General features: G+C 42.4%; 1 protein-coding gene across 11 annotated transcripts in view; it reads right to left on the bottom strand.

The window, feature by feature from the left end:
- Positions 5,571–18,291, bottom strand: part of MCCC1 (methylcrotonyl-CoA carboxylase subunit 1) — a 100,979-nt gene continuing 88,258 nt past the window's right edge. For 8 of the 11 annotated variants that reach the window (NR_120640.2, XM_047448586.1, NM_001363880.1 and 5 more), the window contains 5 exons: positions 16,108–16,157; positions 12,770–12,907; positions 10,483–10,590; positions 7,619–7,690; positions 5,571–5,919 (listed from right to left, as the gene is read on the bottom strand). Coding sequence is in view for 8 of the 11 variants with exons in the window: in XM_047448586.1 (XP_047304542.1) it covers positions 5,791–5,919; positions 7,619–7,690; positions 10,483–10,590; positions 12,770–12,907; positions 16,108–16,157 (497 nt within the window). In the remaining 3 variants the exon portion in view is untranslated. Of the gene's footprint in view, positions 5,920–7,618; positions 7,691–10,482; positions 10,591–12,769; positions 12,908–16,107; positions 16,158–18,291 lie in introns of those variants that run through there. The other 3 variants (NR_120639.2, XM_047448587.1, XR_007095707.1) reach the window with 3 other exon arrangements.

Consider the following 18,291-nt stretch of genomic DNA (forward strand, 5'->3'; position numbering starts at 1 on the left):
GCCACTGCTCCCAGCCTGGCTGTTTCACCTTCTTATCATTTGTGTGTTCACTGGAGTAGCACTTTTAACTGCCTGCTTTCAATAATGGAAAAAACCGTAATGCTTTTATGACATAGTTGGTCATGATGAAGGAATAACTGGGAAGAGGGAGAAGCCCCAAATTACCCTGTTTTTGTTAGTGGTTTTTTGTTTCTGTGGGAAGCTGGTTTTGGAATAAGAATTATATCTAATCTAATCTAACAGTTTAGCGAAATGGTAGCGAGGGGTGGTAGATACAGAGAATGACGTCAGCCATTCTTAGCAGGGAGGGAGTTAACGTCTGTGCTGTGGCTTGGAGGTGGCAGAGGAGAGTGCACACTTCACTTGGAACTCGCTGCAGGAGACTGAGCCAGTTAGAGGCACCAAGGCATTCTGAGTCCCCAGGGATCCAGCAAATGGGAGACAAATGTCAGGGTGACAAGGTAATCATTGGTATCAGGGTTATAATCTCCTAAAGGCCCAGGCACCCCTTGGTCCAGAAGGCATGGTGTCCCCAGGGACATTCCCAGGGGTTGGGGGAGGGTGGGCAAGAGTGTTTCCACTCAGCCTGTGGCTTTGAGAGCTGACAGCTGTGGGCAGGGCCTCTTGTGATGCCCTATACTCCCAGTCTGGTGGGGAAAAACTACTAACCTCTAGGGGCAGCACCCTGGGGTCAGCCCTGAGGGAACAGTATGTTATTAGCAGGAGGGGACTGGTACCCTAAGGTTCTCCGCACTAGGCAAGGAGCAAAGCATTTGGGGACAGCCATCTCCTCTTCTACCACACAGTTTAAATCACATTTTCCTCTTCTGGGGTATTTTGAAGCCTAGTGTGAATATCTAGAAGTGTCTTTTGTTTTTTTTTTGAGACAGAGTCTTGCTCTGTCACCCAGGCTGGAGTGCAGTGGCACAACCTAGGTTCACGGCAACCTCCGCCTCCCAGGATCAAGCAATTCTTCTGCCTCAGCCTCCCGAGTAGCCAGGACTACAGGCTCCTGCCACCACGCCCGGCCAATTTTTGTATTTTTTTTAAGTAGAGATGGGGTTTCATCATATCAGCCAGGCTGGTCTCGAACTCCTGACCTCAGGTGAACCACCTGCCTCGGCCTCCCAAAGTGCTGGAATTACAGGTGTGAGCCACCGCACCTGGCCTAGAAGTGCTTTTTTGAGACCCTCTGATGAAAGATGCAATAGACGTGCAAACATGACTAACAACGCTGTGAATATTTTAATGACAACAGCAGAAGAGCCCTGGCTACGCAGGGCTCAGATGCACATTTCACCTTCTAATATTCCTAAGAGGACTAGTTGAGGGTTAACAGTAAGTGTGCAGGAGTGAGAAGTTGATTGTGGAGGGGGAAAGGGGGGAAAGAGTTCAGCTAAATGAAAGACCACCCTACTCTGCTGTCCGGCAGCAGGTATGATGCCTGCCCACACTGAGGCGCAAGCCGGACACAGGCTTCCCCTCCAGCACCAGCTACACACGTGACAACTGATGGCAGCAGGTGGAGCAAGTCTGGACCCAGCCTTCATACAAGTGAGTTGTTCTAGGTGAGTTGTTCCAAGTGAGTTTTTCCAAGTTACCCAGCCTTCATGCAAGTGGGCGGGCCGCTGTCCCACCAGCACACAGCTCTAGCTACTGACGGAGGCTTCCCCCCACAGTCCGGCAGCAACACAGTCTGTTAAGTGGTTGACAGGTGCCTGGGTCACACCGGAGCAGGCTACAGCTGGGGAAGGGAGGGTAGGGAGGGGACAGGGTGATGCATATCCAGGCAGGATTTTTCACCATCCTGGGACCTGGGATTTTTCCTGGCAAGAGTAACCAGCTAGTCTGAATTTAAAGCAGTTTCTTAATTGCTCCCTAGCAAGAACCAGAGTTGGTAATAACTACCAGGGAAGTATAAATGATTTTCCAGGTACAATGCTAAAGGCAACCTCTACATTTTCTCCTTTAATCTCCAAAACAAGCCTGTGAGGTAGTGCTGCCACCTCAATTTTACAGATAAAGCTCGGAGAGGTTAAATGACTTGCCCAAGGCAATACAGCTAATAAGTGACAAAGCTAGGGCCTGAATGCAAGAATTTTAACCGCTGTATTTCAACTACAATGCTGTGTGTTCTCCCCTGTGATCAAAAAGCAATCATTGGGGTGCTTAAATGTTGTTGTTCTCTTGGTTATTAAATACCTGAGCCATGCTGCTGTCAAAGAGAAGGTAGCAAGCTGCTTTTTTCCCAACTAATGACTCTGTTTTGGTCCATGCCTCTAATGGGTCTTATCCAACAGAGAAGTACTTTTAAGTCAAGATGTGCACCAAAGTCTGTTTTCCCCACTCTGACCTGTACTTTTTCTTGTCTTTTTTTTTTTTTTTGAGACAGGGTCTCACTCTGTCGTCCAGGCTGGAGTGCAGTGGCATGTGATCACAGAGCAATGTAACCTCAAACTCCTGGGTTCAATCGATCCTCCCATCCCAGCCTCCCAAGTAGCTGGGACTACAGGGATGCACCACCATGCCTGGCTAATTTTTAAATGTTTTGTAGAGACATGGGGCAGGCGGCGTGGGGCTGGTCTCCAACTCTTGGCATCAAGTGACCCTCCAGACTCTGCCTCCCAAAGTGCTGGGATTATAGACTTGAGCCACTGCAGCCAGCCTGGCCCACATATCTGGTGTCTGTTTGGGACTGTCTCCAGCCTCTCTCCACTTTCCGGCCTGTACTCCAGACTGTGGACATTATACAACTTGAAAAACTTAAGTTGGTTGAAAATCTCCAGCAGCTCCTCACTGCCTCCAGAATGAAGTCCTCTGGGACAAGAGAAGGCCTTTTATTGCTAGGCAGCTGCGTCCCTTGCTTGCCCTTCTCTGCCTAGTGGCCCAGGCCATCCACTCTGTGCCCCGAATACATTGCATGCCTTCATGCCTTACTGTTCTAGACCTTGCCAGTCCTTCTGCCTGCAGTGGCCTTGGACTCACCACCTTCTTTCTCCATCTGGCAAACAGCTATCCTCCAAAGCCCAGTTCAGACATCACTGCCTCTCCCTCTGCCTCCTGACCCAAAGCAGAATTTAGTACCTCACTCACCTCACCGCACATGGCACCTAGTAGACTGGTATATTATACCACTTACTGTCAATTATATTACCTTTTTTTTTTTTTGAGATGGAGTCTCGCTGTATAGCCCAGGCTGGAGTGCAGTGGCACAATCTTAGCTCGCTGCAACCTCTGCCTCTGGGGTTCAAGCAATTCTCCTGCCTCAGCCTCCTGAGTAGCTGGGACCACAGGCATGTGCCACCATGCCCAATTAATTTTAGTAATTTTAGTAAGGATGGGGTTTCACCATGTTGGCCAGGCTGGTCTCGAACTCCTGACCTCAGGTGATCCACCTGCCTCGGCCTCCCAAAATGCTGGGATTACAGACGTGAGCCACCACGCCCGGCCTATATTACATTTTTCTATGCAGCTGGATCCTGTTTCCCATTAGATAGGGCAAGAGCAGAAATCATTTCTTACCATCTCTGTTCCAGAGGCCCTAGTGTAGAGCAAATGCTCTGTAAGTGTCTGTAGCACAAACAGATGCATTCATGTGCAAAATAACTCTGCTCACACAGCACCAGAACTGGCAAAGATCCTAAAGAAAGAATTCTACCAATATGTGGGTAATTGGGCTAGCTGGCTTCGAATTCCTTCAATACACATATCCCCAACACAGTCACTTAACAATGAAACAGTGAACTCAACCATGTTCCACTGAAGGATACAAACAGCATTCTCCGAAAGGGGGCAAACAGCAATGTGAAATTTCCATCACAGCACCTTTTGCTTTTCCCTCTATTTTTTTTTTTTTTTTTTTGGAGACAGAGTCTCACTCTGTTACCAGGCTGGAGTGCAATGGCATGATCTCGGCTCACTGCAACTTCCGACTCCCTGGTTCAAGCGATTCTCCTGCCTCGGCTTCCCAAGTAGCTGGGACTACAGGCGCGTATCACCATGCCCAGCTAATCTTTGTATATGTAGTAGAGACAGGGTTTCACCATGTTGGCCAGGATGGTCTCCATCTCTTGACCTTGTGATCCGCCTGCCTCAGCTCCCAAAGTGCTGGGATTACAGGTGTGAGCCACCGCGCCCGGCTGCTTTTCCCTCTTTTAAACAGAGAAAGTTTTGTTTGGAAAGGGGAAACGGCACCCTTGCTAAAACTGTAACTTTCGACATTGTCATAGACTATGTTGCATTGCTGAAACAGAGTATCACAGACTGGATAATTTATGAACTAATTTATTTCTTACAGTTCTGAAGTCTGGGAAGTTCAAGATCAAGGGGCCGGTGTCTGGTGAGGGCCTTTTTGCTGTGTCATAACATGGTGGAGGGCATCACATGGCAAGAGGGCAAGAGCGAGCCAGCTCAGGTCTCTCTTCCTCTTTTAAAGCCACCAGTCCCATCATGGGGGCCCCGCCCTGATGACCATATCCAATCCTAATTACCTCTCGAAAGTCCTACCTCTAATCAACACATGAACTTGGGGATTAAGTTTTTAACACGTGAAACATAGGGGACCCATTCTAATCATAGCAGACATGATTTATGTTTTACTTTTCCAATTATAGGCATCTTAAAGTACGGAGACCATCTTTTATATTTCTCTGTATTTTCCACAACATTTAGCATAGTCTTATGTATTCAGCAAGAACTCAATTCAACAAATATTTAACACTTCAATGAATACATAAAAATGCAAAGGGCTGCACATCTGTTAGTAAAAGTAACACAGAATCTAGACAAAAGTAAACTGAATGGTTTTTCTTCATAATGAAAAAAGTATTTCTAAAAAAAGCATTCAGCAGGCTCAGGCTTTTAACTCTTACCAACTTTTTCTGTAAAATTATGCTTTTCAAATTTACCAAAATGTTATATTAAATATTAATATATTTTAGCATGTAATAGATATATAATACATATATTTTTATAAGCTTAGAAAGTACAATAAAGGCAGAGGCAATCTAGTTAGAAACTTTCCAATCACAAACACTAGAAACAATATCCGTGTCTTTACTTATTTATATTTATGTATTTGTTTTGAGATAGAGTCTCGCTCTGTCACCCAGGCTAGAGTGCAGTGGTGCGGTCTCGACTTACTGCAACCTCTGCCTCCCAGGTTCAAGCGATTCTCCTGCCTCAGCCTCCCAAGTTGCTGGGACTACAGATGTTCACCACTACACCCAGCTTATTTTTTGTGGAGACGGGTTTCACTATATTGGCCAGACTGGTCTCGAACTCCTGAACTCAAGTGATCTGCCCGCCTTGGCCTCCCAAAGTGCTGGGATTACAGGCGTGAGCCACCGCGCCCGACTAATATCCATGTCTTTTAAACTACCTAGCAAGTTGCTTTTTGGCCAGACAAAACCTTAGTTGTTGAACTCCAGGGCACCTGTCTCTGAAACATATTACTGCTCATTTTCATCATAACAGCAACTGGAAAGTAATTCATTTAATTAAATGTCCTTTTCTCTTCCCCCCTTCCTAAAAGAGACTACCTTGTAAAAAATTTGAGGCAGAAACAAACATTGGCTTCCAATAAAAAATAATTCAACTTTATTAGTATGAAATATTTTGAGATAATTAGTGACCCAAATGCATGATTCTCCAATATGAAAGGTGTTCAGCATAAGCATACAATCATTTAGTAAAACTGCTCTTTATGAGACCCCCAGAAAAGCTGGAGGCACTTCCTCTTTTTGGTGGAGAGAGAAGACACTACTTAACTGGCCATTTCCTTGCTGGAGTTTATTCCGATTCCCTTTTGTCTGATTCTTCCTCCTCAAACTCGACTAAAGGAGTGTGTCTGTTGGCCTGAGCACCTTCTCTGTAGAACACTTTCTTTACTGTGCCATCCTTTGGAGACTTTATGGTATGCTGCAGAGACACATGACAGGACAAATGATAGCTGCAATACTAATGAGGACTGAGTATACACCAAGTCAAGAAAGGGAGACCAAAAATGAAAACTGTAGCCAACTTTGATGTTTTGTCATCTCTCGGTGCTTTCCAACGCTTTGTTGTTGTTGTTGTTTTTATTTTTAACATCACAGCACACAGGGAGAACAGTAACAAGTTGAGAGGAATGAACACTGGGACACAGCAGTAACCTTTCAACGATATGACTGGGAAGCTCTGGTGTAGCTCGCAGTTCTCAACTTGAGCTTCACATGAGAATTGCACCTAGGAAGCTTTCAACAGTTTTTTGTTTGCTTGCTTTTGTTTTTTTTTTTTTGTTTTTTGTTGTTGTTGCTGTTGAGACGGAGTCTCACTCTGTCACCCAGGCTGGAGTGCAACGGCATGGTCTCAGCTCACTGTAACCTCTGCCTCCCGGGTTCAAGCGGTTCTCCCACCTCAGCCTCCCAAGTAACTGGGACTACAGGTGTGTGCCACCACACCTGGCTAATTTTTGTATTTTTAGTAAAGACGGGGTTTCACTATGTTGGCCAGGCTGGTCTTGAACTCCTGACCTCATGATCCACCCACCTCGGCCTCCCAAAGTGCTGGGATTACAAGCGTGAGCCACTGCGCCTGGCCTTGTTGTTTGTTTTTTTAAATTGAGACGGAGTCTCGCTCTGTCACCCAGGCTGGAGTGCAGTGGCAAGATCTCGGCTCACTGCAACCTCTGCCTCCCAGGTTCAAGCAATTCTCCTGCCTCAGCCTCCTGAGTAGCTGGGATTACAGGCATGCACCACCATGCCTGGCTAATTTTTGTATTTTTAATAGAGATGGGGTCTCACCATGTTGGCCAAGCTGGTCGTGAACTCCTGACCTCAAATGATCCGCCTGCCTCTGCCTCCCAAAGTGCTGGGATTACAGGCATGAGCCACTGCGCCCAGCCTTTCAAAAGTATTGATCCTTGGGCTCTACTCCTGGAGATTGCAATTCAATGGGTCTGGGGAAGAATTTTTTCAAATCTCCCCAGGTGACTGTACACATGCTCCTTGACTTACGATGGGGTCAGGTCCAGATAAATCCAATGTAAGCTGAGGAGCATATTCAACGTGTATGGTTTTGCACCATTGTCAAGCTGAAAAATCCTTAATTGAACCATTGTAAGTTGAGGACTGTCTGCAATATTCAGCCAGGGCTAAGAATCACTGACCTACCATTTGAACCATCTAAAAACCTAAACAGCTAATTTAATTTGATTGCGGTTTTCACTTTGAAACTGATGCCTGGCATCCTTGGTTCGGCCTTAGAACCAAGATAATACCAACAGTTAACATTAGAAAATACCAACAGTTAACATTCCAGAAACACCAACAGTTAACATTCAGTTGGATTATCTTAGAAAATACCAACAGTTAACATTCAGTTGGATTATCGCCTGATTCCAAGCTATTGATAATTTCATTAATTTCAGAATCAGAAATGACAGGTGCAATTTCACAAAGTTAAAGTAAAACTCTTTTCTACAAGAAGGATAGTTTGGTTTTGTTTCCTACAATTAATGCTTCGTCAATCATGGCTTTTCATATTTAAGGTGGTATTAACTTACAAAATAAGGCAAAAGAACCATTAGGTATGATTGCTCCCAAAGTCCTCATAGCAAATGAACTCATGATTTCCTTACCTCCATCTTCATGGCGATCATAACCATGAGGGAATCTCCCGCTTTCACTTTGTCTCCAGCTTTGACAAACACCTTGAGATTCAGTGTGACAGGTTAATATTTGAAAACACAGAGGTCCTAGATATGTTCATCTGCTTCATTATAGTAACCATTTTACTGTCTATATATACTCATAACATCATGTTGCAAACCATGAATATAAACAATAAAACATAAATAAAAAGAAAAAAAACAACACAGAGGTCCTTTGTGGTCCACAGATTTGGTATATAAACTTACAGAGCAGAAGTAGAGCCCATGTGGTTGTGCCATCTGCCAAATGCACTGGTCAAATCAGAGGCCTACAGCCCAAATATACAGGTCAAATCTGAGACCTACAGCCCAAATGCACTGGTCAAATCAGAGGCCTACAGGTCAAATGCACTGGTCAAATCAGAGGCTTACAGCCCAAATGTACAGGTCAAATCTGAGACCTACAGCCCAAATGTACTGGTCAAATCAGAGGCCTACAGCCCAAATGTACTGGTCAAATCAGAGGCCTACAGCCCAAATGTACTGGTCAAATCAGAGGCCTACAGCCCAAATGCACTGGTCAAATCAGAGGCCTACAGGTCAAATGTACTGGTCAAATCAGAGGCCTACAGCCCAAATGTACTGGTCAAATCAGAGGCCTACAGGTCAAATGCACTGGTCAAATCAGAGGCCTACAGCCCAAATGCACTGGTCAAATCAGAGGCCTACAGGTCAAATGCACTGGTCAAATCAGAGGCCTACAGCCCAAATGCACTGGTCAAATCAGAGGCCTACAGCCCAAATGTACTCGTCAAATAAGAGGCCTACAGGTCAAATGCACTGGTCAAATCAGAGGCCTACAGCCCAAATGCACTGGTCAAATCAGAGGCCTACAGCCCAAATGCACTGGTCAAATCAGAGGCCTACAGGTCAAATGCACTGGTCAAATCAGAGGCCTACAGCCCAAATGCACTGGTCAAATCAGAGGCCTACAGGTCAAATGTACTGGTCAAATCAGAGGCCTACAGCCCAAATGTACTGGTCAAATCAGAGGCCTACAGGTCAAATGCACTGGTCAAATCAGAGGCCTACAGCCCAAATGCACTGGTCAAATCAGAGGCCTACAGGTCAAATGCACTGGTCAAATCAGAGGCCTACAGCCCAAATGTACTGGTCAAATCAGAGGCCTACAGGTCAAATGCACTGGTCAAATCAGAGGCCTACAGCCCAAATGCACTAGTCAAATGAGAGCCCTACAGGTCAATCTGGCATTGCTGGCACTGTCGTCCATGGGTAGCACTGCTTAGTCCCCTGTCCCCACCCACAAAACCACTTAGTTTTACTTGAATCACATGAATATACTCCATGTATTTTGAAATCCTTTCATTTTTTTCAAGAATGTAGAAACAAGACACATTGCCAGTAGGGAAGGACTAATATACTTAAATGTCTTCCCCAGAGAGGGAAGAGGGATGAGGGTCTTGACTGGTTTTCTTGTTTTGGGGTTGTCTAGGGCTAAGTATAGTAAGTGTGTTTGAAGTCTTCAGAGCCCTGTGTAGTAAATGTGAAGACAATCTTCATGCAACAGAATCAAACTTATTAGCAACCCCAGAAAGAGATTTCTATTTTCTTTTGTATACATATAAATGGACTCATAGATCCTATATGGTCTCACTTTCGTTTTGGTTAACATGGCTACTAAGTGGGAGACTAACAGAGTTGTGCAGAGATGCCTGCACTATGAGAGGCCTGTGGGAACTGAAATCAAATGAGCTAAAGGCAGATCCAGGTCTCCTAGCTCATACCCACTTGGGGTAAATATTTCCAAACGAGAATAGTGGCTGAAATCACCCACACTATTTAAGTAGTTATTTTCTTCTTCTTCTTTTTTTGTTCCAAGCATATACAGTTGAGTTTTTATGATTTAAGTGTATTTGAGGAGACTCTACTGTATTCAAGTATATAAAAGGAGACTACGGATACTGATCTATCACCATTTGATGTTATATCAGTATGTGCTAGGGTCTAAATGTCTATATCCCTCCAGAATTCATTTGTTAAAATCCTGACCTCCAGGATGATGGTATTTGGAGGTGGGGCCTTTAGCAGGTGATTAGGTCATGAGGGATCTGGCCTCATGAAAGAGATTAGTGCCCTTATGAAAGAGGCCTGAAGAGAGGTCCCTTGTCCCTTCCACCACGTGAGGACACAGAGAAAAAATGGCTGTTTATGAAATCGGTAAGTAGACTCTCACCAGACACTTAATCTGCTGGTGATTTGATGGATTTCCCAGCCTCTAGAATCGTGAGAAATAAATTTCTATTGTTTAAAAGCCACCCAGTCTATGGTATTCTGTTCTAGCAGCCTGAACTGACTCAGACAGTATGGACTGCAACTGTGAATTATATACTGCATTCAACACCAAACCGTACTGTTCTTCACCAATACCAGCCTTTTACATTAACGCAGATGCAACTACGTACACTAAAAGAAAATGTCATTATTTCATGAAAAATTTGCTGCTATTAAATTTAACATTCAAAACCAGCTTTTTTGAATAATGCTTAATGAATGCTCAGTTTTAATCATAAAAAGACAATTTAGATTATTTGTACTTTGATGCAAATGCCTGCCTTCAAAAACAGCAGTCTTTTTCATAAATTAGGTAAATGGGTATTTTCAGTGAGGACTGTAATAAACAATTTGAATCTGTAATAGATCCTCTTGTTTTTGTGAAGTGGATGCTTTCCAATGAGCAAGGTTTAGAAAGGGAAAAGGACATAAATGACAAGTTTAACAAAGCCACGTATTAAAACTTACTGAACATCATTCTACAGATGTCATGTGATTACCTTTTCAATGGTTCCAGTCATAGGAGCTAAGGGGCCGCCCTGAGTTTCTTGTGAGCTCACAGAAGATAAGTATTTGGGGACTGGAATGTCAATCTCAATACTTCCTTCCTAGAAACAGAAAACAAACTGAAAACCGAATCAACATCCTATCACTATATTTTTACTAATATACCTGAGGTAATAATTGTTTCCCAGCAATTTGTTAAATATTAGTCATCATGGCCAGGCCCAGTGGCTCACGATTGTAAACCCAGCACTTTGGGAGGCTGAGGTAGGCAGATGGCTTGAGCCCAGGAGTTCAAGACCAGCCTGGGCAATATAGCGAAACCTCATCTCTACAAAAAATACAAAAATCAGCCCAGTGTAGTGGTACGCGCCTATAGTCCCAGCTACTTGGGAACTGAGGCAGGAGGCTCACTTGAGCCTGGGAGGTAGAGGCTGCAGTGAGCTAAGACTGCGCCACTGCACTCCAGCCTGGGTGACAGAGTGAGACTCTGACTCAAAAAAAAAAATAAATTAGTCACCATTAATACCAGGGTTCTAATCTAGCTTTATGACCTTGAGCAAATTATTAAACCTCTCTCAGCCTTGGTTTCCCATTGTAAAGGCGTAACGGTATACATGCCTCACAGTATATTAAAAGATTTAGGCTGGGCGCCGTGGCTCACGCCTGTAATCCCAGCACTTTAGGAGGCCAAGGTGGGCAGATCACGAGGTCAGGGGATCAAAACCATCCTGGCTAACATGGTGAAACCCCATCTCTACTAAAAAATACAAAAAATTAGCTGGGCATGGTGGCGGGCGCCTGCAGTCCCAGCTACTCGGGAGGCTGAGGCAGGAGAATGGAGTGAACCCGGGAGGCAGAGCTTGCAGTGAGCCGAGATGGCACCACTGCACTCCAACCTGGACAACAGAGCAAGACTCCATCTCAAAAAATAAAATAAGAATAAAGCATTCACTGTAGACAACAAGTAGCCACTGTCTGGAAGCCATTTTCAGTAGCATCCCCACTCTCAGATGCTCAGTATGCTAGGAACTGTCTTTAACACACACATCATGTCGTGAATCATCACAACTCTATGAGGAAGGTACTGTCATTATTATTATTTTTTAGAGGCAGGGTCTCACTCTGCCACCCAGGCTGGAGTGCAGTGGCACAATCATAGCTCACTGCAACCTTGAACTCCTGAGCCTATTAATCCTCCTGCATTAGCCTCCTGGGTAGCTAGGATTACAGGCACACACCACCATGCCTGGCTAATGTTTAAAATTTTTTGTAGAGATGGGGTTATGTTACCCAGACTGGTCTCAAACTCCTGGTCTCAAGCAATCTGCCTGCCTTGGCCTCCCAAAGTGTTGGGACTACAGGCACAAGCCACTGCACCTATTATTATTACTGTTACTGCTGTTATTATTAAACTGTTTATAGATAGGAGAGCTAAAGCCCAGAGAGTTTAACGGCCAAGGTCACATGGCTGTTAAGTGGCAAGGCAGAATTTGAACCAAAGCAGCTTCACATTTTAGAACTTGAGTTTTTCACCATTCCATTATACGGCCTCTATCATCATATTACTGTAGCGTAATTGGCTATGGAAAGGAATGCCTGGCAAAGTGGGATCATCCTCAACTCCATATATAGTAGTTTAATTACTAGACTACTAAAGGAATCTCATCACAAAGCACTGTGAGGCCACAGCATATATGATAATGCATTATCCTCTTTCTGCCCAGGCCGAAGGTTAAGGACTCACTGGGCAGCAGGCTTCTAACCAAAACCATGCAAAGCCTGCCTCGGCTATCCTTTGACTGTCAAGAGACCACCAGTAATGCCATCCACCTTCCTACTGTCCACCTTCCCCACAAGGAACAACTGGTCCACAGACTCCTCTCTCAGTGGTCACCTCCTCCAAAATCACCAGGATTCCAGTTGTCAGGGGGATGGTGGGTGGGGAAAAGTGTTCAGACATCAAAGCCCTGAGATACCACCACCCACTGAGCAGGGAGATATGCTCTGACAAAGAAAATGGAAGGATTTGTTTCAGAATTCAGGAAGAAAATGGGTATGTGTCTATCAATGAGCATCTGTGTGAACGAGAGAAGTGAATGGGAAACTACAGAGGGCAGGAATTTGGCAAAGAAACACAGAATGGTGGGGGAAACTGAGGGAAAAAGGTCACAGCAGTGGTCACAGGAAGCTGGATCTTTCTAATCTCTTTCAGTGGAATGTCTCTGGTCAAACAGTTTTCTCCCATGCCCCAGGAGGGATATTATAAAGAAGAGACATTACCTTGGAAAATAGGTAAATAGTGTTTTCCAGGATAATCAGCTTCGCTTTACTAGCAACTCCATTAACAGAACATTTCAGGTAAGTGCAGTCTCCCTCGCTGTAAAGATTACCAAGGACTTGGAAAGTTTTATCTTCAATCTGAAAAAAATGAAAAATAAGATTTTTAAAATAAATGAACAACACTACAGAATTAATAAGATCAGAATCAATTCTTCACTATTGGTAGTTTTAAAACATAAAATGTGTCTTAAACATATATAACATATATTTTTTAAAAAGTCATGGAACTTTTCCCCTATTCCTAACCAAGATACTTTACATAGAAATGACAGGAAGATAATTAAAAGGGAAAAAAAAGTTATATAACTTATCCATAGCACCATAATGCTATAGATAAAGGTTCACGTAAACATATAAAGATAGCATTAAAAATATGAAACAAAAATACAAACCAAGTTATGCAAAATTATTAAAATTCATTTGCATATATTACATGTTTGTAATATAAACTTATTTCTGAGTATTTGAAGTCAAATTTAGTTTTCCTGTGCCAAAGTCAGTCACCAAAAAAATGCCAGAATCACATAATTAGATGATATTCTTTTATCTTATCAACACGTAGGCCCAATCATGGGTTTCAGTTATGATTTAAGAACATAAATTAGCTGGAGATTGGCCATAATTTTCTCACTCTCAGAGACCATATGCCAAAGAACAAAGTTCACAATGTTTCAAGGAAGCTGATAAAAGGACATGGAACCTGTTTTAAAATTTCCCTGAGGTAAAAAATCCATTTACATCTTCTCTCTCTAGTCTTCATTTCAATTCCCACAATGCTAGTGTAGAAGTCACATGGCTATTCTTTTCAAATATATTACGTACACTAAGGTGAAATAGGTCACACTGCAATATTTACACATTGGTTCTCATCTATCCTAAGTTAAATATGACATTTTACTATGCTTTGTAACCTACTAAAACAGCCATTTGAATGTTTGTGGAACTCTTAGGACATAAAGGTTAGATTGAAAACAGTTTTGTTTAAAGATTCACGAAAACACATTTTAAAATTGTGAATGTAGTTCCATGAGCAGATTAGAACAAATTGGCAATCTACTTTACCAGCTAACAGGGACAAGAAATAATCTCAAACCAGAGGCATTAATATGAATTATAACCCTCATACCCAAGTAGGCAGACTTTCCATGGTTTTTCTGAATCTCACAGAAAGAAAATCAATGTGTCTCAAAGTGTTGGGAGGTCTAATACATACCACTGATAAATCTGTTCTGCAGGATTTGACATCTCTTAGCTCATATTAAAAATGATTTATTCTATTCCCTGAAGTTGTACCTTACTATAGGAATTTGATTGAATTCCCACTTTTTTTTTTAAACCATTTAAGCATTCCATTTTGCCAATGTAATGGTCTTCTTCTAATTGAGGATTACCATGAACTTTACACTAGAGGTTCTCAAAATATGACCTATGTGTTCCTTGGGGTCCCTAATACCCTTTTAGGGCATCCACAAAGTCATAATAAGACTAAGAAGGCCAGGCGTGGTGGCTCACGCCTATAATCCCAGCACTTTGGGAGGCCAAGGTGGGCGGATCACCTGGGGTCGGGAGTTCGAGGCCAGCCTGACCAACACAGTGAAACCCTGTCTTTACTGAAAACACACAATTACCCGGGCATGGTGGTGCATGCCTGTAATCCCAGTTACTTGGGAGGCTGAGGCAGGAGAATCGCTTGAACCTGGGAGGTGGGGGTTGTGGTGAGCCAAGATCATGCCATTGCACTCCAGCCTGGGTGACAAGAGCATAACTCCTTCTCAAAACAAAAAAAAAGAAAAAAAGATTAAGATATTATTTGTTTTTTATACTCTCATTCTCTCATAAGTACACAGTGGAATTTTCCAGAGGCTACTGAACGTGTGATAATGTTATCACTCTGATGGCTAATGGAATGTGTACTTGTGATTAGGTTTTACAATTTTTTCAATTTATCCTATAACTTAACAACAACAACAAAACAATTAAATTAAGAAATTGGCAGAGGACTCGAATAGAGATTTTTCTAACAAGATATACAAATGGCCAATAAGTAAAGATGCTCAACATCATTAGTCATTATGGAAATGCAAGTCAAAGTCACAGTGAGATACTACTACCTCACACTCATTAGTATTGCTATTATAAAACAAAAAAAAAACAAAACCCCAGAAAATAATAAGTAGTGGCAAGGAAGTGAAGAGATTGGAGCCATTGTGCACTGTTGATGGGACTGTAAACTGCTACAGCTGCAATGGAAAACAGTATGGCGGTTTTTCAAAGAATCAGAATCACTATATGATCTAGCAATTCCACTGCTGGATATATATCCAAAGGACAAAAAACAGGGTCTTAAAGAAGTATTTGTACACCCCTGTTCATAGCAGCATTATTCACAATAGCCAAAAGCTAGAAACAACCCGAATGTTCATTAATGGCTGAATGGATAAAGAATATGTGGTATATACATACAACAGAGTATTTTTCACCCTTAAAAAAAAAAAAAAAGGAAATTCTCACATATGCTACACCATGGAAGAACCTTGAAGACACTGTGCCAAGTGAAATAAGCCAATTACAGAAGGACAAATACTACATTATTCCGCTTATATCAGGTACCTAGAGTAGTCAAATTCATAGAGACAGAGAGTAGAATCGTGGTTCTCAGGGGATGGGGGAAGAAGGAACGGAGTGTTAACTGTTTAATCAGTGAGTACGGAATTTTAGTTCCACAAGAAGAAAGAAGTTCTGGAGATGGATGGTTGTGATGGTTACATATCAACTTGAATGCACTGAATGCAAATGGTTAAAATGGTAAATTCTACATTATGTGTATTTCACCACAATTAAAAAATTAGAAATTAAATTTTCTCAGTTAAATTGTCTAAATGGTAAATATCAAGAGATATAATTAACACAAACCAAAGTGCTCTGGTGGGTATTTTAAAGAGTGTACAGTTCCTGAGACAAAAAATGTGAAAACTGCTGCTTTTGCTGTAAATACAGGCACACACTTTAGGGGCTTGTGAATGTCTGATTTGAGCTTTTACTTTTTGCCAAGTTTTTATTCTTAAAGGAATCACAGCCCAACTGAGTAAACAATCAGTTAGAAACTGTATAGGGGGTAATTTCCCCAAATTGGGTCTGAAATACAAGCATAAGATATTCTCTTAACTACAGTCATAATAGTCAAAGGCTTAAGGGAAACCAGAGAGTGAAAGACCCTATTCAGTATAAAAGCGGTCAGATTCAGCTCTGCACTGTAGAACAAAACCAGTAAGGCTTACCTGCATGCTATAAGACCCATCATGGTTATACGTTACAGCTATGGCTACATCTTTATGGAAAAAGGGAAAAAATGAAGAAAAATTAGAAGACATTCATTTATTTAATAACCGAGATATAAAGAATCTCACTCTCAACCTAAAGACAACCAACTATTCAAAGGAAAATCAACAACTTTGAACTTCTTGGAAATAAAGTATTTTGTTAGAAAAGCATCTGTCAAGCTAGTACCAATAAAGATGAATTTCAAACTTTTCTTTTTTAAAATGGAATTTCAGGGGTTTTATTTTTATTTTGATTTATTTTTTAAGACAGGGTATCACTCTGTCACCCTGGCTGGACTGCAGTGGTGCAATCACAGCTCACTGCAGCCTTAACCTCCTGGGGTCAGGTGATCCCCTCACCTCAGCCTCCCAAGTAGCTGGGACTACAGGCGTGCCACCACGCCCGGCTAATTTTTTGATTTTTTTGTAGAGATGAGGTTTCACCATATTGCCCAGGCTGGTCTTGAACTCCTGGACTCAAGTGATCCATCTGCCTGGGCCTCCCAAAGTGCTAGAATTACAGACATGAGTCACCACATCCAGGCTTGAGTTTTAGATATTTTAAGGTTGTCGAATATTTTACGTATTTTTCCCTCAACAAAAAGGCTGCAGTATTATAATTTTAAAAATGCAGGCCAGGTGCGGCGGCTCATGCCTGTAATCCCAGCACTTTGGGAGGCAGAGGAGTGGGGATCACGAAGTCAGGAGTTTGAGACCAGCCTGACCAACATGGTGAAACCCGGTCTCTACTAAAAATACAAAAATGAGCCAGGCATGGCGGCACGTGCCTGTAATCCCAGCTACTCAGGGGGCTGAGGTAGGAGAATAGCTTGAACCTGCGAGGTGGAGGTTGCAGTGAGCTGAGATCGCACCACTGCACTCCAGCCTGGGTGACAGAGTGAGGCTCCATCTCAAGAAAAAAAAAATGCAATGAATTGGTAAAGAGAAGTTTTTGGTTGAGAATGGAATCTGCCACCTGATCACCTCTGTCATCTTGACTCACTAAATCTCCGAGCCTTGATTTTCTGAGCCATTAAATGGGTATAAAAATGTAACAATTATTAAACAAATATGAAAATGCTTTAGAAATGGTAAGACTATATACACCTAATAAATGATTCATGTTACAGGCACATCTCACTTTATTGCACATTCTGCAGATACTATGTTTTTTACCTATTGAGTTTGTGGCAACACCATGTCAAGCATAATTTTCCAACAGCATGTGCTCACTTCGTGTCTCTATGTCACATTTTTGTAATTCTTACAATATTTAAAACTTTTAAATTATTATATCTGTGACAGTCATCTGCGATCTCTGATATTACTACTATAATTGTTTTACGGTGCCTCAATCTGCGCCCATGTAAGATAGAGAACTTCCTCAATCAATATTGTGTGTGTTCTTACTGCTCCACTGACCAGCCATTCCCCTGTCTCTCTCCCTCTCTATGGGTCTCCCTATTCCCTGAGGCAATACAATATTGAAATTAGACTAATTAATAACCCTACAATGGCCTATAAGTGGTCAAATGAAGAGTTACATATCTCCCACTTTAAATCAAAAGCTAGAAATGATTAAGTTTAGTGAGGAAGGAATGTCAAAAGCTGAGATAAGCCAAAAGTTAGGCTTCTGATGCCAAACCACCAAGTTGTGAATGCAAAGGAAAAGTTCTTGAAGGAAGTTAAAAGTGCTTCTCCAGTAAACACATGAAGGATAAAAAGGTGAAATAGCTGGGCTGGGAGCAGTGACTCACGCCTGTAATCCCAGTGCTTTGGGAGGCCAAAGCAGGACTGCTTGAGCCTGGGAGTTTGAGACCACCCTAGGAAACAAAGCAAGACCCCATCTCTAAAATAATAATAATGATAATAATAAATACTGTGAAACAGCCTTGTTGCTGATATGGAGAAGTTTTAGTGGTCTGGATAGAAGATCAAACCAGCCACAACATTCCCTTAAGCCAAAGTCAATCCAGAGCAAGGCCCTAACTCTCTTCAATTCAATTAAGGCCAAGAGAAGTGAGGAAGCTGCAGAAAAAATATTTGAAGCTAGCAGAGACTGGTTCATGAGGTTCAAGATAAAGCAGAAAGTGCTGACAGAGGAGCTGCAGCAAATTATCCAGGAGATCTAGCTAAGATAAT

The sequence above is a fragment of the Homo sapiens genome, chromosome 3 (genome assembly GCF_000001405.40).
Source record: "Homo sapiens chromosome 3, GRCh38.p14 Primary Assembly".
Lineage (NCBI taxonomy): Eukaryota > Metazoa > Chordata > Mammalia > Primates > Hominidae > Homo > Homo sapiens.